The sequence below is a fragment of the Homo sapiens genome, chromosome 8, assembly GCF_000001405.40.
Source record: "Homo sapiens chromosome 8, GRCh38.p14 Primary Assembly".
NCBI classification, from domain to species: domain Eukaryota; kingdom Metazoa; phylum Chordata; class Mammalia; order Primates; family Hominidae; genus Homo; species Homo sapiens.
The window spans coordinates 8,455,578-8,480,778 of record NC_000008.11 but is presented as its reverse complement, the minus strand read 5'-3'; the positions used below and the strand labels follow the sequence as shown (position 1 = coordinate 8,480,778).

The window sequence follows — 25,201 nt, the reverse complement described above, 5'->3', positions numbered from 1 at the left end:
TCCCCTAGGAGCAATGGTTCAGTATTTGTTAACTCAGTGTTTGCTGAGAATCTATAGAACATAACTACATACCAGGCGTGGTGGCTCGCACCTGTAATCCCAGCACTTTGGGATGCCCAGGTGGGTGGATCACTTTAGGCCGGGAGTTCGAGACTAGCCTGGCTGACATGGTGAAGCCCCATCTCTACTAAAAATACAAAAATTAGCTGGGCGTGGTGGCAGGCACCTGTAATCCCAGCTACTTGGGAGGCTGAGGCAGGAGAATTGCTTGAACCTGAGAAGCGGAGGTTGCAGTGAGCTGAAATCATGCCATTGCACTCTAGCCTAGGTGACAAGAGTGAAACTCCATCTCAAAAATAAAAAAGAAAAAAAAGAACATAACTATGGCAAGTAATGAGAATTGATTGTGTATGTAAAACACAGTGCTGCCAGGCACATAGTGACTGTTCTAGAAGTGTTTGTTAAATGAAGAATATCTGATGGAGTTTGTAGGGAGGCCAGATCCCATCTGCAGGGAGCTATACAACCCAGTAGAAAGCAGATAGACTGGGTAGTTCCAATGTCCTTCTGATGAAGGAGACCGGGGTCCAGGATGAAGGGAACTGCAGTGGGTCAAGGCAGATCTGGTGGGTGGAATCTCAGGTCTCGGGCCTTCTTACAAGCACTGATGCTGCTTTCACCAGGGTCAGAGGTGTCGGTGGGAGGGGCTGGTGCCGTGTGACAATCTGGTGCCTGATCCAGCTAAGGACCCAAATTACCAGGAGGGCTTTAGAAATATTTGCTGAGGCGTATTTCTCAGCCTCACCTCAGAACTTCTAAATCAGTTTTTCCAGAGCTAGAAGCAGACATCTGTATCCTTAAGCAGCTTCCAACACCAGTCGGCAGGTAGTATTTGGGTTCTACTCTCATCATGGAAAGAACTCTTTCTTTGGAGTAGGACCAGCCTGGCTCCAAATCCAGCTACATGGCCCTGGGGTAGGTGACTGAAAGTCAGTGAGCCTGAGTTTCTTCCCCTGTAAAATGAGGATGGTAACTCCAACCTTGGGGCCTCCTTTTCTTTTCTTTTCTTTTCTTTTTTTTTTTTTGAGACAAATTCTCACTCTGTCACCCAGGTTGTAGTGTAATGGCACGATCTCGGCTCACTGCAACCTCCGCCTCCCAGTTTCGAACAATTTTCCTGCTTCAGCCTCCTGAGTAGCTGAGATTACAGGCATGTACCACCATGCCTGGCTCATTTTTGTATTTTTAGTAGAGGCGAGATTTCACCATGTTAGCCAGGCTGGTCCCAAACCCCTGACCTCAAGTGCTCCACCTACCTGGGCCTCCCAAAATGCTGGGATTACAGGCATGACCCACTGTGCCCAGCCCAGGTCTCATCTTTGAGAATAAACTAGAGTGAACGTAAATTGTCAGATCCAATATCTGGTATGTTGTAGACATCCAATACACGTTGGGCCGACCTTCCTTCTTGTTGGTTCAGCTCTGACTGCTATTTCCACATTCTTCCTTTATCTGTGAAAGTGGCATTCGTCCAGAAGGGATTGGATTCTTTTCCAGCAGGGTGGAAAGTTAGAGCCAATCCGCTCACCTTCCTTCTCCTCCTCCTCCCACTGGCTGGGCTCACAGGTTTGGTGTAGAACATACGAATGCAAGGGCACCCGGGCAAGGGCCAGGAGCACTCAGCCTGGTCTCACTGTCCTTGTGGTTTCTGTGACGCAGGGACACCTGCCACAGGCTGCATTGTTGGTTCGAATGGGAACGGGAAGGAAGCATTCCTCCCTTGGGTCTGATGTCAGCCTTCCTTGGGAACTTGATCTGGAGCCCCTGGAGCTTTTGCAGATGCTATCGGTGGGCTGAGTAAATGCACACAGGCCAGGTGGGGAGCGCGGGTGCCAGAGCTCAGGTGGTCACTGCCTCGCGGGCATCCTCCACCACCAGCTGCATCTTTCCCAGGGTCATCCGCAGGCCCTCCAGGCTACATCTGTTCGCCACTGTTCGGAATGCAGGCCCCAGGTCCCTGAGCAATGAGTCTACAGGATGATGAACTGTCCTTAGTGAGAAGACCGTTCAGCCTTCTTCCTTTCCTCCCCTTCCATCTCTGACACTTGGTCCAAAACTGCCTCTCTTCCTGTTCCTTTCCAGTCTCTCCTCCAACTCCCACCCCATCTCCAAGTTGAAGCTTCTCTCCAGTTTGCTTTGGGTTATTCCCAGCCTTTCTCCTTCATGTTATTGCTGGACCTGTGCTAAAGGCTCGGCAAACAGGAAAGCCTCCCTTTCTAGTGGCAAAGCCATAACCCTCTGATAAAAGTAATTTCCCTCTGATTCCCTGGTTGTTAACTTGCAAAAAGATGTCAGTTTCCTGGCAGACTGAGATGAAGTCCCAGATGGCTTCCCTTCTGTTCCCCTTGACTGGGCTTGGCCTCAGTCAGTGTCCAGAGCTTCTTGAAGTTCAGTCCTGACCATTAGAAGGCAAGCATCGTATGATCTGTCATCAAGGTGCTTTCAAGTCAAGTGGAATTTTCCTAAACTTTCAAGTCTGTTCCATTGCTGTCATCCACGCTGATTGAAGAATGTGGACAGCTATGCTGGATTGGAGAGAGCTGAAGGGCAGTTCATGAACACGTGGACTGTATTACCTGACATTTCTTGAGTGCTTACTCTGTGTCCAGCTCTGTTGTGTTATATATGAATGAATTCATTTACTATTTTCAACATTCAAGGAATTAGGTACTATTAGAATTAGGTATAATCCTAATTTTATGGATGACAATATTGAGACATGGAGGAATTAAATAATTTGAACAAGATCTCAAAGCTTGGAAGCAGCAGCAGCAATCAGAAACCAAATTGAATGTCCCCAGAGCCAGGGCTCGTAGTCGCCATGCTGGGCTGGGCTCTACTTTGCATTTTTGCAGCTGAGACACCACTGAGTCTTAGAGTTCCTGAGACCCTAGGAATAGCCAGGGAAGTAGAAGGTACCAAGTTTATGGGGCACCAAGTTACCCTGCCTCTACCTGCCTTCCCCAGTATCTGCTGCAACCACAGCCCTTCTGCTTTTATCTGGTATAGATGATGGACATCCATACAAGTCTTAACTTGAAAGGGGGGATCCGAGGGAAGTATGTGGCTCATCAGACTGGGTTCCATCGGAAAGGAACTGTTAGATTTGTGTTCCTAACTCTGGCACCTAGTCAGAGGTCTGGCAAGGGGTCGCTTCCTTAACAACTGTTTGTTGGATGAGCAAACAGAGAAGTTTCCTGGCCCTGCCTTCTTCTCCTTTTTAGAGATGAAGAAATGAGGCCAAGCATAGTAGCTCATGCTTGTAATCCCAGCAGTTTGGGAGGCCAAGGTGGGTGGATCACCTGAGGTCAGGAGTTCGAGACCAGCCTGGCCAACATGGTGAAACCCTGTCTCTACTAAAAACACAAAAATTAGCCGGGCATGGTGGTGGACACCTGTAATTCCAGCTACTTAGGAGGCTGAGGCAAGGAGAATCACTTGAATCCGGGAGGCGGAGGTTGCAGTGAACCAAGATCGCACCATTGCACTCCAGCCTGGGCAACAAGAGCAAAACTCAGTCTAAAAAAAGAGAGAGAGAGAGAGAGAGAGAGAGAGAGATGGAGAAACGAGCATAGAGAGAGGAAGAGTGTGACCAAGTGGCCAAAGGCGGCCAGCATGATTCTGGAAGTGACCCTGCGCTCACTGCGCTCCTCAACCAACGAGCTCCATAGGTTTCAGGGGCCTCACTTGCAAACTCTAGGGTTCGGATTACAAAACCTCAAGTTCTAGTACACCTTTAAGTTTCTGTGTGTCAACAGTCAGGATGCCAGAACCGGGAGCCAGCTCAGCATCGGAGGTGTCAATCACATCTCTTTTTTTTTTTTTTTTTAATTTTTTTTTTATTATACTTTAAGTTTTAGGGTACATGTGCACATTGTGCAGGTTAGTTACATATGTATACATGTGCCATGCTGGTGCGCTGCACCCACCAACGTGTCATCTATCATTAGATGTATCTCCCACTGCTATCCCTCCCCACTCCCCCGACCCCACCACCGTCCCCAGAGTGTGATATTCCCCTTCCTGTGTCCTTGTGATCTCATTGTTCAATTCCCACCTATGAGTGAGAATATGCGGTGTTTGGTTTTTTGTTCTTGCGATAGTTTACTGAGAATGATGGTTTCCAATTTCATCCATGTCCCTACAAAGGACATGAACTCATCATTTTTTATGGCTGCATAGTATTCCATGGTGTATATGTGCCACATTTTCTTAATCCAGTCTATCATTGTTGGACATTTGGGTTGGTTCCAAGTCTTTGCTATTGTGAATAATGCCACAATAAACATACGTGTGCATGTGTCTTTATAGCAGCATGATTTATAGTCCTTTGGGTATATACCCAGTAATGGGATGGCTGGGTCAAATGGTATTTCTAGTTCTAGATCCCTGAGGAATCGCCACACTGACTTCCACAATGGTTGAACTAGTTTACAGTCCCACCAACAGTGTAAAAGTGTTCCTATTTCTCCACATCCTCTCCAGCACCTGTTGTTTCCTGACTTTTTAATGATTGCCATTCTAACTGGTGTGAGATGATATCTCATAGTGGTTTTGATTTGCATTTCTCTGATGGCCAGTGATGATGAGCATTTCTTCATGTGTTTTTTGGCTGCATAAATGTCTTCTTTTGAGAAGTGTCTGTTCATGTCCTTCGCCCACTTTTTGATGGGGTTGTTTGTTTTTTTCTTGTAAATTTGTTTGAGTTCATTGTAGATTCTGGATATTAGCCCTTTGTCAGATGAGTAGGTTGCGAAAATTTTCTCCCATGTTGTAGGTTGCCTGTTCACTCTGATGGTAGTTTCTTTTGCTGTGCAGAAGCTCTTTAGTTTAATTAGATCCCATTTGTCAATTTTGGCTTTTGTTGCCATTGCTTTTGGTGTTTTGGACATGAAGTCCTTGCCCACGCCTATGTCCTGAATGGTAATGCCTAGGTTTTCTTCTAGGGTTTTTATGGTTTTAGGTCTAACGTTTAAATCTTTAATCCATCTTGAATTGATTTTTGTATAAGGTGTAAGGAAGGGATCCAGTTTCAGCTTTCTACATATGGCTAGCCAGTTTTCCCAGCACCATTTATTAAATAGGGAATCCTTTCCCCATTGCTTGTTTTTCTCAAGTTTGTCAAAGATCAGATAGTTGTAGATATGCGGCATTATTTCTGAGGGCTCTGTTCTGTTCCATTGATCTATATCTCTGTTTTGGTACCAGTACCATGCTGTTTTGGTTACTGTAGCCTTGTAGTATAGTTTGAAGTCAGGTAGTGTGATGCCTCCAGCTTTGTTCTTTTGGCTTAGGATTGACTTGGCAATGCGGGCTCTTTTTTGGTTCCATATGAACTTTAAAGTAGTTTTTTCCAATTCTGTGAAGAAAGTCATTGGTAGCTTGATGGGGATGGCATTGAATCTGTAAATTACCTTGGGCAGTATGGCCATTTTCACGATATTGATTCTTCCTACCCATGAGCATGGAATGTTCTTCCATTTGTTTGTGTCCTCTTTTATTTCCTTGAGCAGTGGTTTGTAGTTCTCCTTGAAGAGGTCCTTCACATCCCTTGTAAGTTGGATTCCTAGGTATTTTATTCTCTTTGAAGCAATTGTGAATGGGAGTTCAGTCATGATTTGGCTCTCTGTTTGTCTGTTGTTGGTGTATAAGAATGCTTGTGATTTTTGTACATTGATTTTGTATCCTGAGACTTTGCTGAAGTTGCTTATCAGCTTAAGGAGATTTTGGGCTGAGACAATGGGGTTTTCTAGATATACAATCATGTCGTCTGCAAACAGGGACAATTTGACTTCCTCTTTTCCTAATTGAATACCCTTTATTTCCTTCTCCTGCCTGATTGCCCTGGCCAGAACTTCCAACACTATGTTGAATAGGAGTGGTGAGAGAGGGCATCCCTGTCTTGTGCCAGTTTTCAAAGGGAATGCTTCCAGTTTTTGCCCATTCAGTATGATATTGGCTGTGGGTTTGTCATAGATAGCTCTTATTATTTTGAAATACGTCCCATCAATACCTCATTTATTGAGAGTTTTTAGCATGAAGGGTTGTTGAATTTTGTCAAAGGCTTTTTCTGCATCTATTGAGATAATCATGTGGTTTTTGTCTTTGGCTCTGTTTATATGCTGGATTGCATTTATTGATTTGCGTATATTGAACCAGCCTTGCATCCCAGGGATGAAGCCCACTTGATCATGGTGGATAAGCTTTTTGATGTGCTGCTGGATTCGGTTTGCCAGTATTTTATTGAGGATTTTTGCATCAATGTTCATCAAGGATATTGGTCTAAAATTCTCTTTTTTGGTTGTGTCTTTGCCTGGCTTTGGTATCAGAATGATGCTGGCCTCATAAAATGAGTTAGGGAGGATTCCCTCTTTTTCTATTGATTGGAATAGTTTCAGAAGGAATGGTACCAGTTCCTCCTTGTACCTCTGGTAGAATTCGGCTGTGAATCCATCTGGTCCTGGACTCTTTTTGGTTGGTAAACTATTGATTATTGCCACAATTTCAGAGCCTGTTATTGGTCTATTCAGAGATTCAACTTCTTCCTGGTTTAGTCTTGGGAGAGTGTATGTGTCGAGGAATGTATCCATTTCTTCTAGATTTTCTAGTTTATTTGTGTAGAGGTGTTTGTAGTATTCTCTGATGGTAGTTTGTATTTCTGTGGGATCGGTGGTGATATCCCCTTTATCATTTTTTATTGCGTCTATTTGATTCTTCTCTCTTTTTTTCTTTATTAGTCTTGCTAGCGGTCTATCAATTTTGTTGATCCTTTCAAAAAACCAGCTCCTGGATTCATTGATTTTTTGAAGGGTTTTTTGTGTCTCTATTTCCTTCAGTTCTGCTCTGATTTTAGTTATTTCTTGCCTTCTGCTAGCTTTTGAATGTGTTTGCTCTTGCTTTTCTAGTTCTTTTAATTGTGATGTTAGGGTGTCAATTTTGGATCTTTCCTGCTTTCTCTTGTAGGCATTTAGTGCTATAAATTTCCCTCTACACACTGCTTTGAATGCGTCCCAGAGATTCTGGTATGTGGTGTCTTTGTTCTCGTTGGTTTCAAAGAACATCTTTATTTCTGCCTTCATTTCGTTATGTACCCAGTAGTCATTCAGGAGCAGGTTGTTCAGTTTCCATGTAGTTGAGCGGCTTTGAGTGAGATTCTTAATCCTGAGTTCTAGTTTGATTGCACTGTGGTCTGAGAGATAGTTTGTTATAATTTCTGTTCTTTTACATTTGCTGAGGAGAGCTTTACTTCCAACTATGTGGTCAATTTTGGAATAGGTGTGGTGTGGTGCTGAAAAAAATGTATATTCTGTTGATTTGGGGTGGAGAGTTCTGTAGATGTCTATTAGGTCCGCTTGGTGCAGAGCTGAGTTCAATTCCTGGGTATCCTTGTTGACTTTCTGTCTCGTTGATCTGTCTAATGTTGACAGTGGGGTGTTAAAGTCTCCCATTATTAATGTGTGGGAGTCTAAGTCTCTTTGTAGGTCACTCAGGACTTGCTTTATGAATCTGGGTGCTCCTGTATTGGGTGCATAAATATTTAGGATAGTTAGCTCCTCTTGTTGAATTGATCCCTTTACCATTATGTAATGGCCTTCTTTGTCTCTTTTGATCTTTGTTGGTTTAAAGTCTGTTTTATCAGAGACTAGGATTGCAACCCCTGCCTTTTTTTGTTTTCCATTGGCTTGGTAGATCTTTCTCCATCCTTTTATTTTGAGCCTATGTGTGTCTCTGCACGTGAGATGGGTTTCCTGAATACAGCACACTGATGGGTCTTGACTCTTTATCCAACTTGCCAGTCTGTGTCTTTTAATTGCAGAATTTAGTCCATTTATATTTAAAGTTAATATTGTTATGTGTGAATTTGATCCTGTCATTATGATGTTAGCTGGTGATTTTGCTCGTTAGTTGATGCAGTTTCTTCCTAGTCTCCATGGTCTTTACATTTTGGCATGATTTTGCAGCGGCTGGTACCGGTTGTTCCTTTCCATGTTTAGCGCTTCCTTCAGGAGCTCTTTTAGGGCAGGCCTGGTGTTGACAAAATCTCTCAGCATTTGCTTGTCTATAAAGTATTTTATTTCTCCTTCACTTATGAAGCTTAGTTTGGCTGGATATGAAATTCTGGGTTGAAAATTCTTTTCTTTAAGAATGTTGAATATTGGCCCCCACTCTCTCCTGGCTTGTAGGGTTTCTGCTGAGAGATCAGCTGTTAGTCTGATGGGCTTTCCTTTGAGGGTAACCCGACCTTTCTCTCTGGCTGCCCTTAACATTTTTTCCTTCATTTCAACTTTGGTGAATCTGACAATTATGTGTCTTGGAGTTGCTCTTCTCGAGGAGTATCTTTGTGGCGTTCTCTGTATTTCCTGAATCTGAACGTTGGCCTGCCTTGCTAGATTGGGGAAGTTCTCCTGGATAATATCCTGCAGAGTGTTTTCCAACTTGGTTCCATTCTCCACATCACTTTCAGGTACACCAGTCAGACGTAGATTTGGTCTTTTCACATAGTCCCATATTTCTTGGAGGCTTTGCTCATTTCTTTTTATTCTTTTTTCTCTAAACTTCCCTTCTCGCTTCATTTCATTCATTTCATCTTCCATTGCTGATACCCTTTCTTCCAGTTGATCGCATTGGCTCCTGAGGCTTCTGCATTCTTCACGTAGTTCTCAAGCCTTGGTTTTCAGCCCCATCAGCTCCTTTAAGCACTTCTCTGTATTGGTTATTCTAGTTATACAGTCTTCTAAATTTTTTTCAAAGTTTTCAACTTCTTTGCCTTTGGTTTGAATGTCCTCCCGTAGCTCAGAGTAATTTGATCGTCTGAAGCCTTCTTCTGTCAGCTCGTCAAAATCATTCTCCATCCAGCTTTGTTCCGTTGCTGGTGAGGAACTGCGTTCCTTTGGAGGAGGAGAGGCGCTCTGCGTTTTAGAGTTTCCAGTTTTTCTGTTCTGTTTTTTCCCCATCTTTGTGGTTTTATATACTTTTGGTCTTTGATGATGGTGATGTACAGATGGGTTTTCGGTGTAGATGTCCTTTCTGGTTGTTAGTTTTCCTTCTAACAGACAGGACCCTCAGCTGCAGGTCTGTTGGAATACCCTGCCGTGTGAGGTGTCAGTGTGCCCCTGCTGGGGGGTGTCTCCCAGTTAGGCTGCTCGGGGGTCAGGGGTCAAGGACCCAATTGAGGAGGCAGTCTGCCCGTTCTCAGATCTCCAGCTGCGTGCTGGGAGAACCACTGCTCTCTTCAAAGCTGTCAGACAGGGACACTTAAGTCTGCAGAGGTTACTGCTGTCTTTTTGTTTGTCTGTGCCCTGCCCCCAGAGGTGGAGCCTACAGAGGCAGGCAGGCCTCCTTGAGCTGTGGTGGGCTCCACCCAGTTCGAGCTTCCCGGCTGCTTTGTTTACCTAAGCAAGCCTGGGCAATGGCGGGCGCCCCTCCCCCAGCCTCGCTGCCGCCTTGCAGTTTGATCTCAGACTGCTGTGCTAGCAATCAGCGAGATTCCGTGGGCGTAGGACCCTCCGAGCCAGGTGTGGGATATAGTCTCCTGGTGCGCCGTTTTTTAAGCCGGTCTGAAAAGCGCAATATTCGGGTGGGAGTGACCCGATTTTCCAGGTGCGTCCGTCACCCCTTTCTTTGACTCGGAAAGGGAACTCCCTGACGCTTGCGCTTCCCAGGTGAGGCAATGCCTCGCCCTGCTTCGGCTCGCGCACGGTGCGCGCACACACTGGCCTGTGCCCACTGTCTGGCACTCCCTAGTGAGATGAACCCGGTACCTCAGATGGAAATGCAGAAATCACCCGTCTTCTGCGTCGCTCACGCTGGGAGCTGTAGACCGGAGCTGTTCCTATTCGGCCATCTTGGCTCCTCCCTCCACATCTCTTATCTCTTATCAATAACAGGGGAATCCTCCTCTTTCTGCAAGGAGTGCACAAGGCAAGTTGTTCCATGCTGTCTCTGGGAGTTTCCCTGGGGAAAAATTAATATTAAATTTCCCCAGGAAAGAAACAAACACATCGATAGTGTCATTTCAAGCGTAACTGATCAAGAATGCTGCGTGAGAATAGGACTTGCAAGAAGGTTCTGTCTACAGAGATAATGTCAATGAAAGACTTAGGCCAATAAGTTACTAAGGACCTACAATGAGGCCCCACTGTTACTCAGACAGAGAAAATAACAAATGCAGAGATACCACCAATCAAATCATGCCCCTCAAGCATATCAACACTTAGGAGAGTAGAATGGTGGCCACCAGAGGCTGGGGTGGGTAATGGAAGGCAGGGAAATTGTAACGGTTAATGGGTACAAAAATATGGTTACATACAGTGAATAAGATCTGGGATTTGATAGAACAACAGGGTAACTACAGTCAGCAATAATTTGTTGTACATTTTGGATTAGCTGAGAGAATACAATTGGAATGTTCATAACACAAAGAAATGATGAATGCTTGAGGTGATGGAAATCCCATTTATCCTGATGTGATTATTACACATTGCATGCCTGTATCAAAATATCTCATGTAACCCATAAATACATATACCTACTATGTATCCATACAAAATAATTTTAAAAAATAACACGCAAGACAGATAACCAGCTCTTTTCAGAAGCATTGAAATAATTTTTAAAATTGTTTCTTTTATAAACAGGATTTAAGGCCATGTGCAGTGGCTCACAGTGTAATCTCAGCACTACAGGAGGCTCAGACAGGAGGATTGCTTAAGTCTGGGAGTTCAAGACCTGCCTGGGCAACAAAACGAGACCCTGTCTCTAAAAAAATAAAAACAGGATTTAAAATGGAATTCTTTCCACCCTACTGTTGGCTAAGATTCTTCTATTAATTTTCTGTGGCTGCTGTAACAAATTACCCCAAACTGGGTGGCTCAAATTTATAACAATTTATTATTTCCCAGTTCTGGAGTCCAAAAGTCCCAAATCAGTATCCCTAGGATGAAATCAAGGTGTCTGCAGGGCCGCACTGCCTCAGGAGGCTCTGGAGGAGAATCGATTCCTTGCCTCTCCCAGCATCAGGTGCCGCCAGCATTCCTTGACGTGCGGTTGCAGCACTTTCATCTCTGCCTTCATGCACGCTGCCTCCTCATCTGTGTGTCAGCTCTCCCTCTACCTCCCTGTTCTAGGGATTCTTATGATTTCGTGAAGAGCCCACCCAGGCTAATCCAGGATAATCTCATCTCAAGATCTGGGGCAGCCCTGGAGAAACACCTGAAAGAGCTCATTATTTTCTTTAGCAGTAGATAGCTGAGAAAGCTCAGTATTATTTCTTTTTTTTGTATTGTTTTTTTGAGATGGAGTCTCACTCTGTCACCCAGGCTAGAGGGCAGTGGCTAATTTTTGTATTTTTAGTAGAGATGGGGTTTCACCATGTTGGCCAGGCTGTTCTCAAACTCCTGACCTCAGATGATCCACAGATATTATTTCTTAAACAGCTTATTTTATTCTCTGGATCTCTTGGTATGCTAGCTCACAAGGACTCCTGATGGTCCAGCAGCTTCAGAACATTTTACCAGTTATCAGAGGAAGATAAAGCCTGCTCAAACCCAGAAAAAACCAGAACCAGCAACTCCTTGTTGCCTTTAGATCATTAACATATCATTATAATACTAAAAGCCCCACCCATGGAAGAAAATCGCCGCCATTTTCTGAACATGCTTTGTATGAAGAGGCATGTTTATGATTTGCACCTGCACATACTTACAAACCTCCCACATCCATAGCTAACGCCTTAAAATCCCCCAGCTTCCCACAGCTTGGGGAGTAGGAGGTGTCTTGGGAGCGAGAGCTCACTCCTTCTCCTTCTCTGGCCAGAGAATAAATCCTGCTTGCCTTTTTTCCAATTGGGTATTCTTTCCCTGTGACCAATGTAAAGTAGGAAAGGAACTCAGTTTACCAGTGACAGATGCTCAGTTTAACCACATTTTTTTGCCAAATAAAGTAATATTCACAGGTGAGGATTAGGACCTGTAATATTTGAGGAATGTTTTCCATTCTACTATGGCTCCCAAAGGCCAGGGACAAACCACCAGGAGCCAGGCTAATGCCAGACTCAAAATGCATCAAAGGGGTAAATTAAAAAAAAAAAAAGAGTCAAATGCCGTCACCTGCCTACATGTACAGCAGGGGACACTGAGGAGGCCCAAACAGGGGTATAGCTTGTGCAAAGTCAGCAGGATGAGTTTCCTCCCATCCCCACAAAGGAGGAGAGGGGACCTTTTCCCCTTTTCCCTTCCCATCAGGCTATGTACAGTGCTGCTGGGAACACAGGGGAGCAGGGTAGCCACTTTTAACTTGATTTGCATCCCCTAAAACTGTGCAGAGTGCAGACATTGGCACCTGACTTATTTCTGGGGAAAACTAACAGCAGAGACTGTGACCACTGGCCTGACCTAGAAGAACCGAGTGAGAGAGGGGTGGGACTGCTATGGATAGAGAAGAGTCTCTTATGAACCACATGAGAAGCCATGGAGGACCCTGCCAGCACAGATGGCTTCCTGGAAGGCACCATGACCCAACAGAGGGACCGACACACAGAAGCCCCAGGATGGAGGGAGGAATCTTCATAAAGCTGCTTGCCCAGAACACGGCACTGCCTGCATCAAGAGATTCACAATCCAAAAGGTCCCGGAAGGGAGAGATGTAGAACTGGTCATCTCTACACCCCATGTCTCATTACAGCTGTGCCCGCCAACGAGGACTTTCTGGTCCCTTCCCATATCTCCTTCCCCTCAGCTCCAGCCCCAGGGAAGCCAGAATCAATATCACGAGGCAGCAGGAGGAGGAAAGAATCTCCAGTCACGGATCTTGAGCCTCAGGCAGGCACAGAACAGAAGAGGAAAAGAACTTTGGCTTTAGATAAAGCTTTCTGTTTTGATGCCTACATTGCCTTGGCCATTTTATTTATTGAAATGCTTGATTTCCAGGAGACTCATCTTGGATTTTAAACAACCTAGAAGACTTTTTATTACCAATAGCGATAAAGTTATTTGATTTGCCTGATTTTTCATCCAGCGTTGCAGAATGTACAAAATTACAACATGGATTCTAATGCATTGGAGAGAGAAAATAAGGTCGTTTTCTGCAGGTACCTTATCAAGGCTGGTTCATTCACTGTATTTGTTGTAATTTCTTTTTATCTTTCTATCTCCTTTTATTATTTAAGCCAGAAAGCTATATTTCACAGATGTTTCTAAGACACCAGGCAAGGCTACTATCAGTATGTGTAGCAGCCAGAGCTTCCCGCGTCTTTCTATTTTCAAAGATGAACTGTAAAAATCACCTTCACAATGTATGTCCCTAAGCCATAGATTACAAAGATTTCTGGGTCTGTGGGGAGTGCCCGTGGTTCCACAATTAGCTGAACCCCTGACCTCGCCGCTTAACAGCAGTTCATTTGGCTTCTAAATGCCATCCAGCCGGCCGATGTCAGTTTAGATACAGCATTTTTCTGTAGCCTGGGAACAAAGGTCACTGTTTTCCTCATTCTTCCGGTGCCTGGGAATCCCCTGTCTTTTCTCACCCTTTGTAGGTGCTGCAAATGTGTCCATCTCTGCATTGATCTGCTTCTAGGGTAAGCAGCCCTCACAGTTGGAGCAGATAAAGACAGACAAGAATGGAATGAAAGAGTTTTACACCAGGCTTCCCTCTTCTGTTTCTCTTCTTTGTAGACTCAGGCTGTGAACATGAAATTTGAATCAAGGTGATAAACAGCATCAAGGTTTCCCATAATCTCTGGTGGGCCCAGGCACATCATTCTTTCCCGTTTCAAGTGTTGTCCTCGGAATAGCCCAGGATAGCATCTGAACACGTGGAAATGGCACTGGGTTAGATGTCAAGAGACCTGCGACGTGGTCTCGGCTAAGCGCCCTATTATTCCCGTGGGCATATGAAGGCCTCCTGACCTATCTAAAACGGCTGTGAGAAGCAAGTGAAGCAGGCTTGTGGAGGTGCTTATACACACTCTCTAGCAGGCAGACAGTCGATTTTCTATCATTTTAATAAAAGTGGTGATGGGGCGCTCTGATTCCTCCATTAAGGATGATGGATTGAGCACACTCGTTTAGCTCCACTCCTATCTGTGTCCCCAGTAAAATGAGGGTAGAAAGTTTCAGTGAGGACATAAAGTCACTATGACAAAGAGATTGAGTCACAAGGTCATATAACAGATACATGTGTGTAATATAGATACGTGTGCATACTTTTTTTTTTTTTCACACAGAGTCTTGCTCTGTCACCTAGGCTGGAGTGCAGTGGCGAGATCTTGGCTCACTGCAATCTCTGCCTCCTGGGTTCAAGTGATTCTCCTGCCTCAGCCTCCCAAGTAGCTGGGACTACAGGCACACGCCACCATGCCTGGGTAATTTTTGTATTGTTAGTAGAGACAGGGTTTCACCATGTTGGCCAGGCTGGTCTTGAATGCCTGACCTCGTGATCCACCCACTTCGCCCTCCCAAAGTGCTGGGATTACAGGTGTAAGCCACCGCTCCTGGCCCGTGTGCATGATTTTTTTTTAAAGCAGGGGCATAACTAACTGATCACTGGCAGAGTGCATTCTGGACAGATGCATTCTAAGTCAGCCAATGGGAAAAGCTGAGATGCAACTCAATTTGCATCCAGGTCCTTGAAAAGCCTCAGGAATGGATAGCATGGGTACCTTTGGAAGGGAGGGTAAACTAGGAGCTTAAAAGAAGATGGTTGGTGAAAAGTGTTTTCAAAACATTTAGATGCACAGATCCCTTTCCTAACTCTGCATGTTAGTGATACCGATGCTGGAGTTTCCTGAGGAAACGTTCAGTGAAGCCAGAAGAGACAACCCTCCTTCTCCCCATTTATGCAGTTTCCAGTCTGCTTTCTGCACCTCTCTGACACTCACGAGCAAACAGCCAAAGATCACAGAACATCTGAGGCGGATTCCAGAAGAGACAAACAAAAAAGCAACTTGAAGTAAACAGAAACTATGCAAGAACATGAGATTACACCTCACCCACCAATGAAAGCAAACAAACAAACAAACAAACAAGAAACCAACAACCATGATTACTCTGAGAGAGATAACAGCAGATTCTACACCTTGGTAACAAAATAGAGTTGTTTAAGAAAGGAAAGAATAGTCATATGGTGAACATATTGCATAGCTCTGCTATTTACACAATTCATAATACTTACACAGTCCAAATAATGTAATCCACTCTGGTATCATCAAAGGTAGATCAGGAGAAGTGGGCAGTAATGGGCAATGAAATCTACACCCTCATTTTCCATTTGGGAAGGTAACAGCCAAGCCTTGAAGTGAAAAAAGCAAAAGTCACATTATAAACAATGATAGAGGCATAGATATCAATATGAAAAGAAATAGCCAAAATGATTAAAAGTGATCACCTTGAGGATGAGGAAATAGATCAGCTGGGGGATAAGAAGGGGACTGGTAGACTGGTATTTTTGGTAATGAGCTTTGGAGAACTATTTGACTCCTTAAATTATGTATATTTCAGCTGGGTGTGGTGGCTCACGCCTATAATCCCAACACTTTGGGAGGCCGAGGCAGGTGGATCGCTTGAGGTCAGGAGTTCGAGACCAGCCTGGCCAAAATGGTGAAACCCCGTCTCTACTAAAAATACAAAAATTAGCCAGGTGTGGTGGTGCACCCCTGTAATCCCAGCTACTTAGGAGGCTGAGGCACAAGAATTTCTTGAACCTGGGAGGTGGAGGTTGCAGTGAGCCGAGATTGCGCCACTGCGCTCCAGTCTGGGCAACAGAGAAAAACTCTGTCTCAAAACAAATATAGGCCGGGTGCGGTGGCTCATGCCTGTAATCCCAACACTCTGGGAGGCCAAGCCGGGCAGGTCACGAGGTCAGGAGATCGAGACCATCCTGGCTAACACAGTGAAACCCTGTCTCTACTAAAAAATACAAAAAATTAGCTGGGCATGGTGGTGGGTGCCTGTAGTCCCAGCTACTCAGGAGGCTGAGGCAGGAGAATGGTGTGAACCAGGGAGACGGAGCTTGCAGTGAGCTGAGATTGCACCACTGCACTCCAGCCTGGGTGACAGAGCGAGACTCCATCTCAAAAAATATATATATATTATATATAATTTATATATATTATATATAATATAATAATATTATATATAATATATAATAAAATTGATTATGTACATTTCATGTTTTAAATAAAAAGCAAATTGTGAAAGAGCTTTGCCTCTGAAGTCAGATTGTCTAGATTAGTAACTGGTTCTCTTCACTGGCTCCCTGCAAAAAGCCTTGGAAAATCTACTTAAACTCTGTGCACCTCTATCTAGTTCCCCTTCTGTTTAGGTGGGATAGTAAGAATACCGCCTTATAGAAGAATTGTTAGGATTAAATGAGATCATTCATGTAAAGCACATAGCTTGGAACCTGATAGGCAGTATATGCTCAGGACTACCTGCTGTTGTTCTCACTGATGTTTTTCCTACCCCAGAGATCTGATTTAATTGGTCCAGGGTGCAGCCTGGATATAAGGAGTTTTCAACTCAACGCAGGTGATTTTAAGGTACAGCAAAGGTGGAATACCAGTGGCCTGCAGCCTAGAGGAAGCTTCCATGCAGAAGTGGGTGAGGATATGTAATTACTGCCACAAAATAGCTGATTCCAGATGTTTCCTTGTCGGTCATTCCACTTCAGCCCTACACTACCCCGATGATAAGGAAATGGAGTGTTAACACCACCGTACTCCTCATTTTATGAGTTACCCATCTGAAAAAGTTGACTGTAAGCAGTTATCTAAATTGAACCCCATGTACTCTCTTAATTAGGTTTGATTTCAGAGATAAATTCCCACAGGAGAATGCTGACCCTAAGAGATACCAAAACTCAGGCTTAAGAATGTAGCAAAAAAATTTAAGAATGTACAATTTAACAAGAGACAATGATATGAAAACTATGAATAAGCTCTACATTTGTGTTGGGTTCAGCTATTGGCATCTTGAAAGCCCATAGTTTGAACCAATATCAAAAGCTTGGGCGGGGGGGGGGAAACCAATGTATTTCATCTTTAGACATTTTACAGATCCGCCTCCAAATTTCCAGGTTTAAAAATGGCAGTACTCCAACACAAGTCAAGTTAGCCTGTGCAAAAGTGGGAATTAATAGGCTCTGGTAGCTGGGAAGGCCGCTGTTGAAACCAGCAGAATAAAGGAAAGAACAGCTGGGACCAGCACCCGGAATGCCAGGATTGCAACTGATTGTAGTCACTAGGTTTCAGGGGCCATTCAGTGTTTCAGCTGAGCGTTTCAGGTTTCAGCTACACGGTGATGAAAATTATGACATCAACAACAAACAGAAAAATAAATATATAGTGTGCAAAAATTACAAAAAAAATAGCCGTGTCAGAAGACAGAGAATTGTGTGAGTGGAGGGGAGGGGTGTGGTGGGGTAGGGAAGGCCCTACTACTAAGGTGACATTGAATAAAGGCCTGCAGGGCTTAGGGGGTGAGCCCTGCCATCTTCCAGGCAGATAGAATAGCCAATACAAAGACGTGAAGCTGGGAACGTGCATGTTCTGTTCAAGGAACAGTGGGGAGGACCGTGAGCAGAGGTGGACAGCAGGTTGCAGGGAGTGGCAAACTACCGTAAGGCATTGGCTTTTACTGTGAGTGAGATGGGAATCATTTGGAGAGTTTGAGCAGAGGAGCGACAGAATGTAAGGACTGTTTCAAAGCTCTCTAGCCAAGCAGACAACAACCAAATGACCTCTTTGCTATATGGAAACTAGCCTATGCGGAAGCAAAGCAGAGAGCAGGGAGACCAGATAGAACACCACTGTTGTTTTCTAGGAGAGACCTTCTGCCCTCTGGACTTAAGATTGTCAAAGTGGGCCTGGTGAGATGTCATTACATCATCAGAATTTGGTTCTCTTTCAAAGGTGGAGATGAAAGACCTCGCTGATGGGTTTCACATGGGGTTGGGGAGAGCGAGGAGTTGTGGTCGACTCCACACTCCCAGGACTCTCCCTGTCATGCAGCTTCATGCCCGCCTGCATTTATCTTTCATCCCTGCCACCTGTCTGTCGGCCTCATTCCAAGTCTCCCCATGTCAGGTAATAACACGGTGCCCAAGAGCCCCAAATTCACAGCCTCCTATGGAGCAACCATGGATATTTACTTTATATTTATCGGACCTTGGCAAGACCCAGTTTGACCCTTGGGTCAATCACTAACGTCAGGACAGAATGATTGGTCACACCTGAATACATACCTACCCCTGTGGCCAGGGAAGCAGGCAGCCTTCTGGAACTGGTGAATTAGGAGAGGCTTTCTTGGCGAGCAAAACAAACAAACAAAAAAAAACAAAGTTAGCGTAGTCTCACCACCAACTACAACCCAAGTTGTTTTTCCTTTGAGTTCAGTCCTCTTCCCTTGGATCCTGAAGATTCTACCCCAAACCCAGAGCAGCTTCCAATATGGGGAACTCACTCACCTCAAAAAGAATATTGCTCTTTCAGTATAGAACAATAAGAGATCAAATTCAAAGCCATAGTAATTCTGAATCTGGCTTCAGGGCTCAGGTTAGCCTGTCACTCAAAAGCAACTGGAACTGGGAAAGAGGAAGAGGGAGAAGGTTTTTCCCTAACTGCAGGAAAGCTCTTCCATCCCACACCAGCTTAATTGTTGAAAGAGAGCCGCCTTTAAACGCTTTAGACAAAATCTGGATGGAGAGGCACTTCCAACGAGTTCTTTCATCCTGAGATGTTTTAGGGCAAGACACACCTGCATTTTTTATCCTACCCAGGGCTTACTGAGCTCTTTGTCAGTTGAGGATTCTTGGCCTTAAACCAGCTCCACCACTAGCATTTGTGTGCTTTGGAAAAAACCTCTCTGCTGAAGAATTGAGAAAGTAGTCCATGGTCTCAAAGTAATGACACACTGTGGCGATACAGGATCTTGAAATGTGTGGGTAAGATGTGGCAGGGGCCTCGTGTGCTGTGACGTTGGCTGCCCGGCCACATTAACCCTCAGTGACTTCCCTGAGCCCAGGGTCTCATTGCCCATCCCACTGCAACTGCTATCTTCATCCTTCCTTTTAGAACACCTGCTCCCACAGTCCCTGAGAAAGAACTGTTCTATGTTGACAGTTCACCCCAACCCCAAACCACCTTGGGCTGTTTACAGTAAATACTGCACACTAGTGAGGTCTTATTGATCTCTTTCTTCCCAGACACCTTCCCAGCCCCTCCCTCCCTGCTCTCATTTCTGTGTCTGCCACCTGGAAGCAGCAAATGCGGCTCGGCTTGCTTTTCTGCATACCAGAGGCAATGATAATATTTACCGTGGCAGTTGGAGGACTTTGCTGCAGTCTTCACAGCTCTGGCACTCAGGTTGCAGTGAGATCCAGGGAGAGCCAGAAGTGAGGCGCCCAGAGAAGTGTTCACTTGTGGCTCGAAGTCCAGGTGTGATACTGCATGAAAACCCCCCGATTTGGCCATCCAGAGCATGGTAATCAAGAAACGCCTAGATGTTTCCAAAAATGGATTGGGTGTCCCTCCAAGTGTTCATGAAAAGGTTGAATTTCCTCTTGGTGGGGAGTTACAGAGGAGATTAGCAGATCAGGCTGAATTAGGTAAGTTGTCTCCAAAACAGATTCACATATCCCAAAAGGAACAAAGCTAATCCATTAAGGCACAGGAGAAAATATTATCATTTTATTTATTTTTCTTTTTAAATATAATTTTTGTATATGTCTTAAAGTATGTTGGTACAGAAGTATGTCATTTATAAATGAATAAATATACATCAATTGAGGTTACATACTCAAATTATTTTTATTGCTTAGGACAACTGAGCCAAACCATTTGAAGCCCATTAAATTAGGAGATGCCTAGGCTCTTTTCTCACACCGAAACTGGGGTGTTCTGTAGTTTTATGTTCTGGGACAAATTCTGCCATGATAGACCTGAGAAGGGGAGAGAGGAGGAAACTGACAATTGAGGCAACTGGTCTCGGCTGGGCGCAGTGGCTCACACCTGTTCACACCTGTAATCCCAGCACTTTGGGAGGCCAAGGTGGGCAGATCACTTGAGATCAGGAGTTTGAGACCAGCCTGGCCAACATGGTGAAACCCTGTCTGTACTAAAAATACAAAAATTAGCTTGGCATGGTGGTCAGCACCTGTAGTCCCAGCTACTCAGGAGGCTGAGGCAAGAGAATTGCTTGAACCCTGGTGGCAGAGGTTGCAATGAGCTAAGATTGTACCACTGCACTCCAGCCTGGGTGACAGAGGGAGACTCTGTCTCAAAAAAAAAAAAAAAAAAAAAAGGGCAACTGATCTCCCGGTGGTAGCCAGATTCTGTGGGCTTTCTGCTCTCTGAGACTCTTGATCCTCCCGGCCTCCTGGAACCTGGGATCATGGCGAACACTTGAGATGGAGATGAATGAGTTTACAGGCACAGGACAGAGGATGGGCTGGTTGTTGCCCCTTGGAGACATCCAGGGGCTCTGTCTCTTCTGGGGGTGCAGCTTCAGCAGGCAGTGGGACCAGGCTGGATCTGATACAAAGAGAATGATGGCTTCTAGTCTTAGAGACTGTGCCGCCTAGATGGCATCATCCTAGTTCTGTTGAGGATTTTTGCCTGATTCAGGCCATGTTATCTCCAGCTTTAAAGTGGAAAGGTTAGCAGGAATTTCTGATGTCACAGAAAAAAATTAAAAATGAAAACATCAACTGGAAAGGCCTGTCTGCTGATCATTTGGCTTAACTCTGGGTGCTTTGTAATTCCTCTTCGGAGGTTTAATAGAAGATTTTTCTTAACCTTTCCACTTTTTTGTACTCTTTTATCATCCAACTACTCTCATTTATTGTTTCATCACTTTTCTTCTTGCCATTATTCATTCCACCTTCCTCCTTTCTTCTGAGGATGCCTGACCATCTGTGCCCCTCTCCCCCAGGCAGTACATTTTGCCAGTGACTCCATTCCATTCAGCAATCATTTCATAAAGAACCTCTGGGGAGTGTGAACCTTCACTTCAGTTGCTCAACATTGATATGGATTGGCGGTGTGTCCCCATCCAAATCTCATCTTGAATTGTGACTCCCATAATTCCCACCTGTTGCGGGAGGGACCTGGTGGGAGATAATTGAATCATGGGGGCAATTTTCCCCATATTGTTCTCATGGTGGTGAATAAGTCTCACAAGATCTCGTGGTTTTATAAGGGGAAGCCCCTTTCACTTGGTTCTCATTCTCTCTTGTCTGCTGCCATATAAGACGTGCCTTTCAGCTTCCGCCCTGATTGTGAGGCCTCCCCAGCCACATGGAACTGCGAGCCCATTAAAACTCTTTTTCTTTATAAATTAACCAGTCTCGGGCATGTCTTTATCAGTAGCAACAAATACACCATTCCCTGCAGTGCTTCTCACCTATCCTCCCAAACTGCTCCTGCCTGGGAAATTCTCACTGATATTTTTAAAAACACAGCTTAGACATCACCTCTTGCAGAAGCCTTCTCTACTTCCTTATACACCATCCAAACAAACTAATCACTCCCTTCATTATACTGTCTGCGTATGTGTCTTTCATGGCATCGATGATGTTTGGTTGCACGGATACATTGGCGTATCTGTCTCCTCTCCCTCTGCTGGTCTGTAAACTCATTCATGGCCAAGCCTGAAACCCTTTTTACCATCTTCTAGCACAGTGCCCGGTGCATAGCAGGTTCTTAAGAAAGTGAGTGAATAAAGGAATGAAGGAGATTTGAAGTCAGCTACTCTTTCTTGGTCTTCTTGTGGGTTCACCAGAGCTTAGCCAGCTGCAGAGCTAATAACAACAACAACAAAGCTAGCATTTATTGTGTGCTTTCCTTTGTTCTCAGTGAGAAACCAATTACACATATCACTGGTTGAGTGGAGACCACCAGACCAATTAATTATATACTCCTTTCACTAAGAAGCAGCGCCCTTCTCCCCACTTACTTGGAAAGGATGTTCCAGGCTAAATAACAGTACCCTGCTGGCTTGGTTCTAATTGCCAGACTGTTTCTCAGGTTCATTTCTGTCTTTTAATCAAAGTTTACATACATCTTTGTTCCTGGATCTTAGTAATTCAAACCTTGCACCAGGAGCAGTAACATGTTCTTGCTCCCAGAAATGTATTGTACAATTTTCCAGTAACAAAAAGACTAAGTCCAATTGAAATACATTTTTTTTCTTTGAGACAGGGCCTCACTGTGTTACCCAGGCTGGAGTGCAGTGGTGCAATCACAGCTCACTGCAGCCTCGACTTCGCAGGCTTAAGCACATCTCCCACCTCAGTTTCCCAAGTATCTGGGACCACAGGTGCGTACCACCAAGCCCAGCTAATTTTTCTTATTTTTTGTAGGGATAGGATCTCCTTAAGTTGCCCAAGCTGATCTTGAATGCCTGGGCTCAAGCAATCCGCCTGCCTCGGATTTTCAAAATGCTGGGATTACAGATGTGAGCCACCATGTCTAACCTGAAACACAGTTTTAAATGAACACAATTTGTTGTTGTTGTCTTCTCCACCAAAGAAAATTAGTTCTTTAAAGACTCACCAAGTTAAAAAATAAATAAATAATACAATTTATCAACTTTAGTTTCTAATTTCTTCAACTGATCCCTCATTCACAGCCAGGAAAAATCACACTTTTTTCTTTTATATCTGATCTCTCTCTCTCTCTCTGTCTCTGTCTCTGTCTCTGTCTCTCTCTCTCTCTCTCTTAGAGACACACACACACGCACACAGGCTGGAGCCATGAAACTTTAATTCCCAGGCAATGAAAGCTTTTGCACAGGTGAGAGCTTTACTCTCGGCCTTACAACCGAGTCAGGTCTTACAACCCAAATCCTCCTATTAGCAGCTGCCCAGAAACCGACAGAACCTGGGAGAATAATCTACCCCACTCTGGCCTCTGCCAGAACTTGCCTTTTCTTCCCAGTCCCCACTCCCAGACTGACACACCCATCCCAACAATGTGTCCACGAAGAAAAACCCTCTTGAAAGGCATGGAGAGCCCCTTTTTAATGTTACAGGCATGGCTGTCCTGTAACATTAAAAATATATCCTCCCCTCTCTGGTTGAAGCTGTAATCACCCAGTGACATCATAGTGTAGCCTGGAAAACTAAAAATTGAACTAATAACCAAACATCCAGGTTCTAAGATCATCATCCATGCGATACCTGTGAGACCCATGATGTTTCATTAAGCCTCTCTGAGCCTCTCTGGGTCATTTGCAAATTGGGCAAAATTGCATTTTCTCCTCTTTTTCCTTCTTTCTCTCTGTCTCAACTGACCACTCTCTTATTCTCTCTGCTTCTGTCTAAGGCCATTGCGAGGACAAACAAGATAATGTTTGTGAAATGCCTTAAATTCCTCCAAAGGAGGTTTATCAATTCAAAACACTATTGATTTTTGAGATGTTATTTTTAGTGCTATGCCAACGCTGCTAAAATATTTGTATTGATGAAAAGAGTTCTGTGGACAGATGGTGATGGTGGTACAACACTGTGAATGCCCTTGATGTCACTGAACTGTACACTTAAAGATGGTTAAAAGAGTAAATTTTACGTTATATGTATTTTACTGCAATTTTAAAAATAAATGTATGCAGCCATGAAAAAGAATGAGTTTTTGTCCTTTGCAGGGACATGGATGAAGCTGGAAACCATCATCCTCAGCAAACTAACACAGGAACAGAAAACCAAACACCGCATGTTCTCACTCGTAAGTGGGAGTTGAACAATGAGAACACATGGACACAGGGAGGGGAACATCACACACCGGGGCCTGTCAGGGAGTGGGGGGCTAGGGGAGGGAGAGCATTAGGACAAACACCTAATGCATACGGGGCTTAAAACCTAGATGATGGGTTGATGGGTGCAGCAAACCACCATGGCACATGTATACCCATGTAACAAACCTGCACATTCTGCACATGTATCCTAGAATTTAAAGTAAAATTAAAAAGTAAATAAATAAAATAAATGTATGAAAATAAATCACTGCAGCAACTAAAATCTTTATATTGTTCAGGTAACTCTCTGTGCCCCCATGTTTCTCAATTTGTGTGATTGCTCTTGTGTTTGGTGTAGAATTTTCACAGAGGATAAGAAAAGGGGTTTATTTCACTCCTTCTTCCCATGTAATAGATGAGGAATGAGGCCCATTCGAATGAAAGGGCCAGCTCCAATGTAAGTTTCCTAATTCAAGGTCAAATGCAGTCGTCATAGAGGAAAGTAACACATCATCCTATGTATTGTCAGTAGCAACAACTCATGATATTAGTAGCTATCATAACAAAAATCTGTAAGAAGAGCCCCCATCAGCACACCCACTCCTACTGGCCCTAGGAGAAGAGAGAGCTACAGAGAACTGCTCCCAGCTTGGTGCAAGCTCGCAGCATTGCCCCATCCCCTCCTGGGAGGGCACACCCCACAGCAGCTGCTCTGGGACTGACAAGCAAGGGCGGGGCTGCCACCTGGAGCGGACCTGATTTCCGTCCACCTCTCCCTCAGCTTTCAAAGTGACCAGTTCGCAATGCTCTGCCATCTCAGAGAACTGAAAGCCAAGTTTCGCCCGAGAATGGGCACTTTACAACCGGCTTATAAACTGTAATCAAGGGGCTCTCCGAGACGTTGACACAACCTCCAGCTAGCCTGACCAAGTGGCGCCACAGGAGCTGGCCCTGGTTCCTTCTGGAGAGTGCTCTCCCTGGAAACAAATGTGCTGAACGTGCTGTGTCATCACCAGGCAGGGCAGAGTCCTGGGAAAGGAGGCACAGCTGCATGAGTCACAGAGAGACTTCTAGAAAAGCAGAGCAAGAAAGGGCTGCAGTGATCTAGACAAAGCCCATCTTTCTGTAGATAAGGATCTGAGGACAGGCACCCAGGGTGGGGTCAGGCCAGCAACCTGCCCAGGGCCGCCATCCATCAGCTGCATCTAGGAGTGGACACCACACCATTTAACAGCCGGCGTCCAGCGTTCTTGCCCCCAGTGCCATCCCACCCGTAGCCCGAGAGGCAGAAGGGTACGGTGGGAAAACACGCACTTATAAGCCAGACCCAGCTATGCATCCCATCTCCCTTCATGGCTCCAAAGCTTTGGGCAAGTCACTGTCTCTGAGCCTCAGTCTCCTCATCTATAAAACGG

The 25,201-nt window shown here is 44.7% G+C and overlaps 2 long non-coding RNA genes across 3 annotated transcripts, besides 3 other annotated features; one reads left to right on the top strand and one right to left on the bottom strand.

The window, feature by feature from the left end:
• Nucleotides 8,982-9,608: an enhancer, noted in NCBI's record as "NANOG-H3K27ac-H3K4me1 hESC enhancer chr8:8328681-8329307 (GRCh37/hg19 assembly coordinates)". NCBI's record gives its function as "activates a minimal SCP1, AML or CMV promoter by ChIP-STARR-seq in primed H9 embryonic stem cells {active_cell/tissue: H9 hESC(primed)}" and the evidence as "EXISTENCE:reporter gene assay evidence [ECO:0000049][PMID:30033119]".
• Nucleotides 12,730-13,929: an enhancer, noted in NCBI's record as "BRD4-independent group 4 enhancer chr8:8324360-8325559 (GRCh37/hg19 assembly coordinates)". NCBI's record gives its function as "activates an origin of replication core promoter dependent on BRD2, P300/CBP, MED14 and CDK7 cofactors, and independent of BRD4, by STARR-seq in HCT116 cells {active_cell/tissue: HCT116}" and the evidence as "EXISTENCE:reporter gene assay evidence [ECO:0000049][PMID:35650434]".
• On the bottom strand, nucleotides 13,308-20,354 carry LOC107986913 (uncharacterized). Of its 2 annotated transcripts, none has more exons than XR_001745796.2 (4): nucleotides 19,369-20,354; nucleotides 18,298-18,357; nucleotides 15,229-15,345; nucleotides 13,308-13,862 (listed from the first exon to the last, which is right to left on the bottom strand). It is a non-coding gene; the product is annotated as an uncharacterized LOC107986913 (long non-coding RNA). The 2 variants fall into 2 exon arrangements; XR_001745797.2 differs by lacking the exon at nucleotides 19,369-20,354 and adding an exon at nucleotides 18,520-18,817.
• Nucleotides 19,226-19,520: an enhancer, noted in NCBI's record as "tiled region #2598; HepG2 Activating DNase matched - State 5:Enh". NCBI's record gives its function as "activates a minimal TATA promoter and a strong SV40 promoter by Sharpr-MPRA in HepG2 cells {active_cell/tissue: HepG2}" and the evidence as "EXISTENCE:reporter gene assay evidence [ECO:0000049][PMID:27701403]".
• On the top strand, nucleotides 19,392-24,069 carry LINC02950 (long intergenic non-protein coding RNA 2950). Its single transcript, NR_186598.1, has 3 exons — nucleotides 19,392-19,659; nucleotides 22,253-22,370; nucleotides 23,697-24,069. It is a non-coding gene; the product is annotated as a long intergenic non-protein coding RNA 2950 (long non-coding RNA).
• Nucleotides 24,070-25,201: the final 1,132 nt, after the last annotated feature.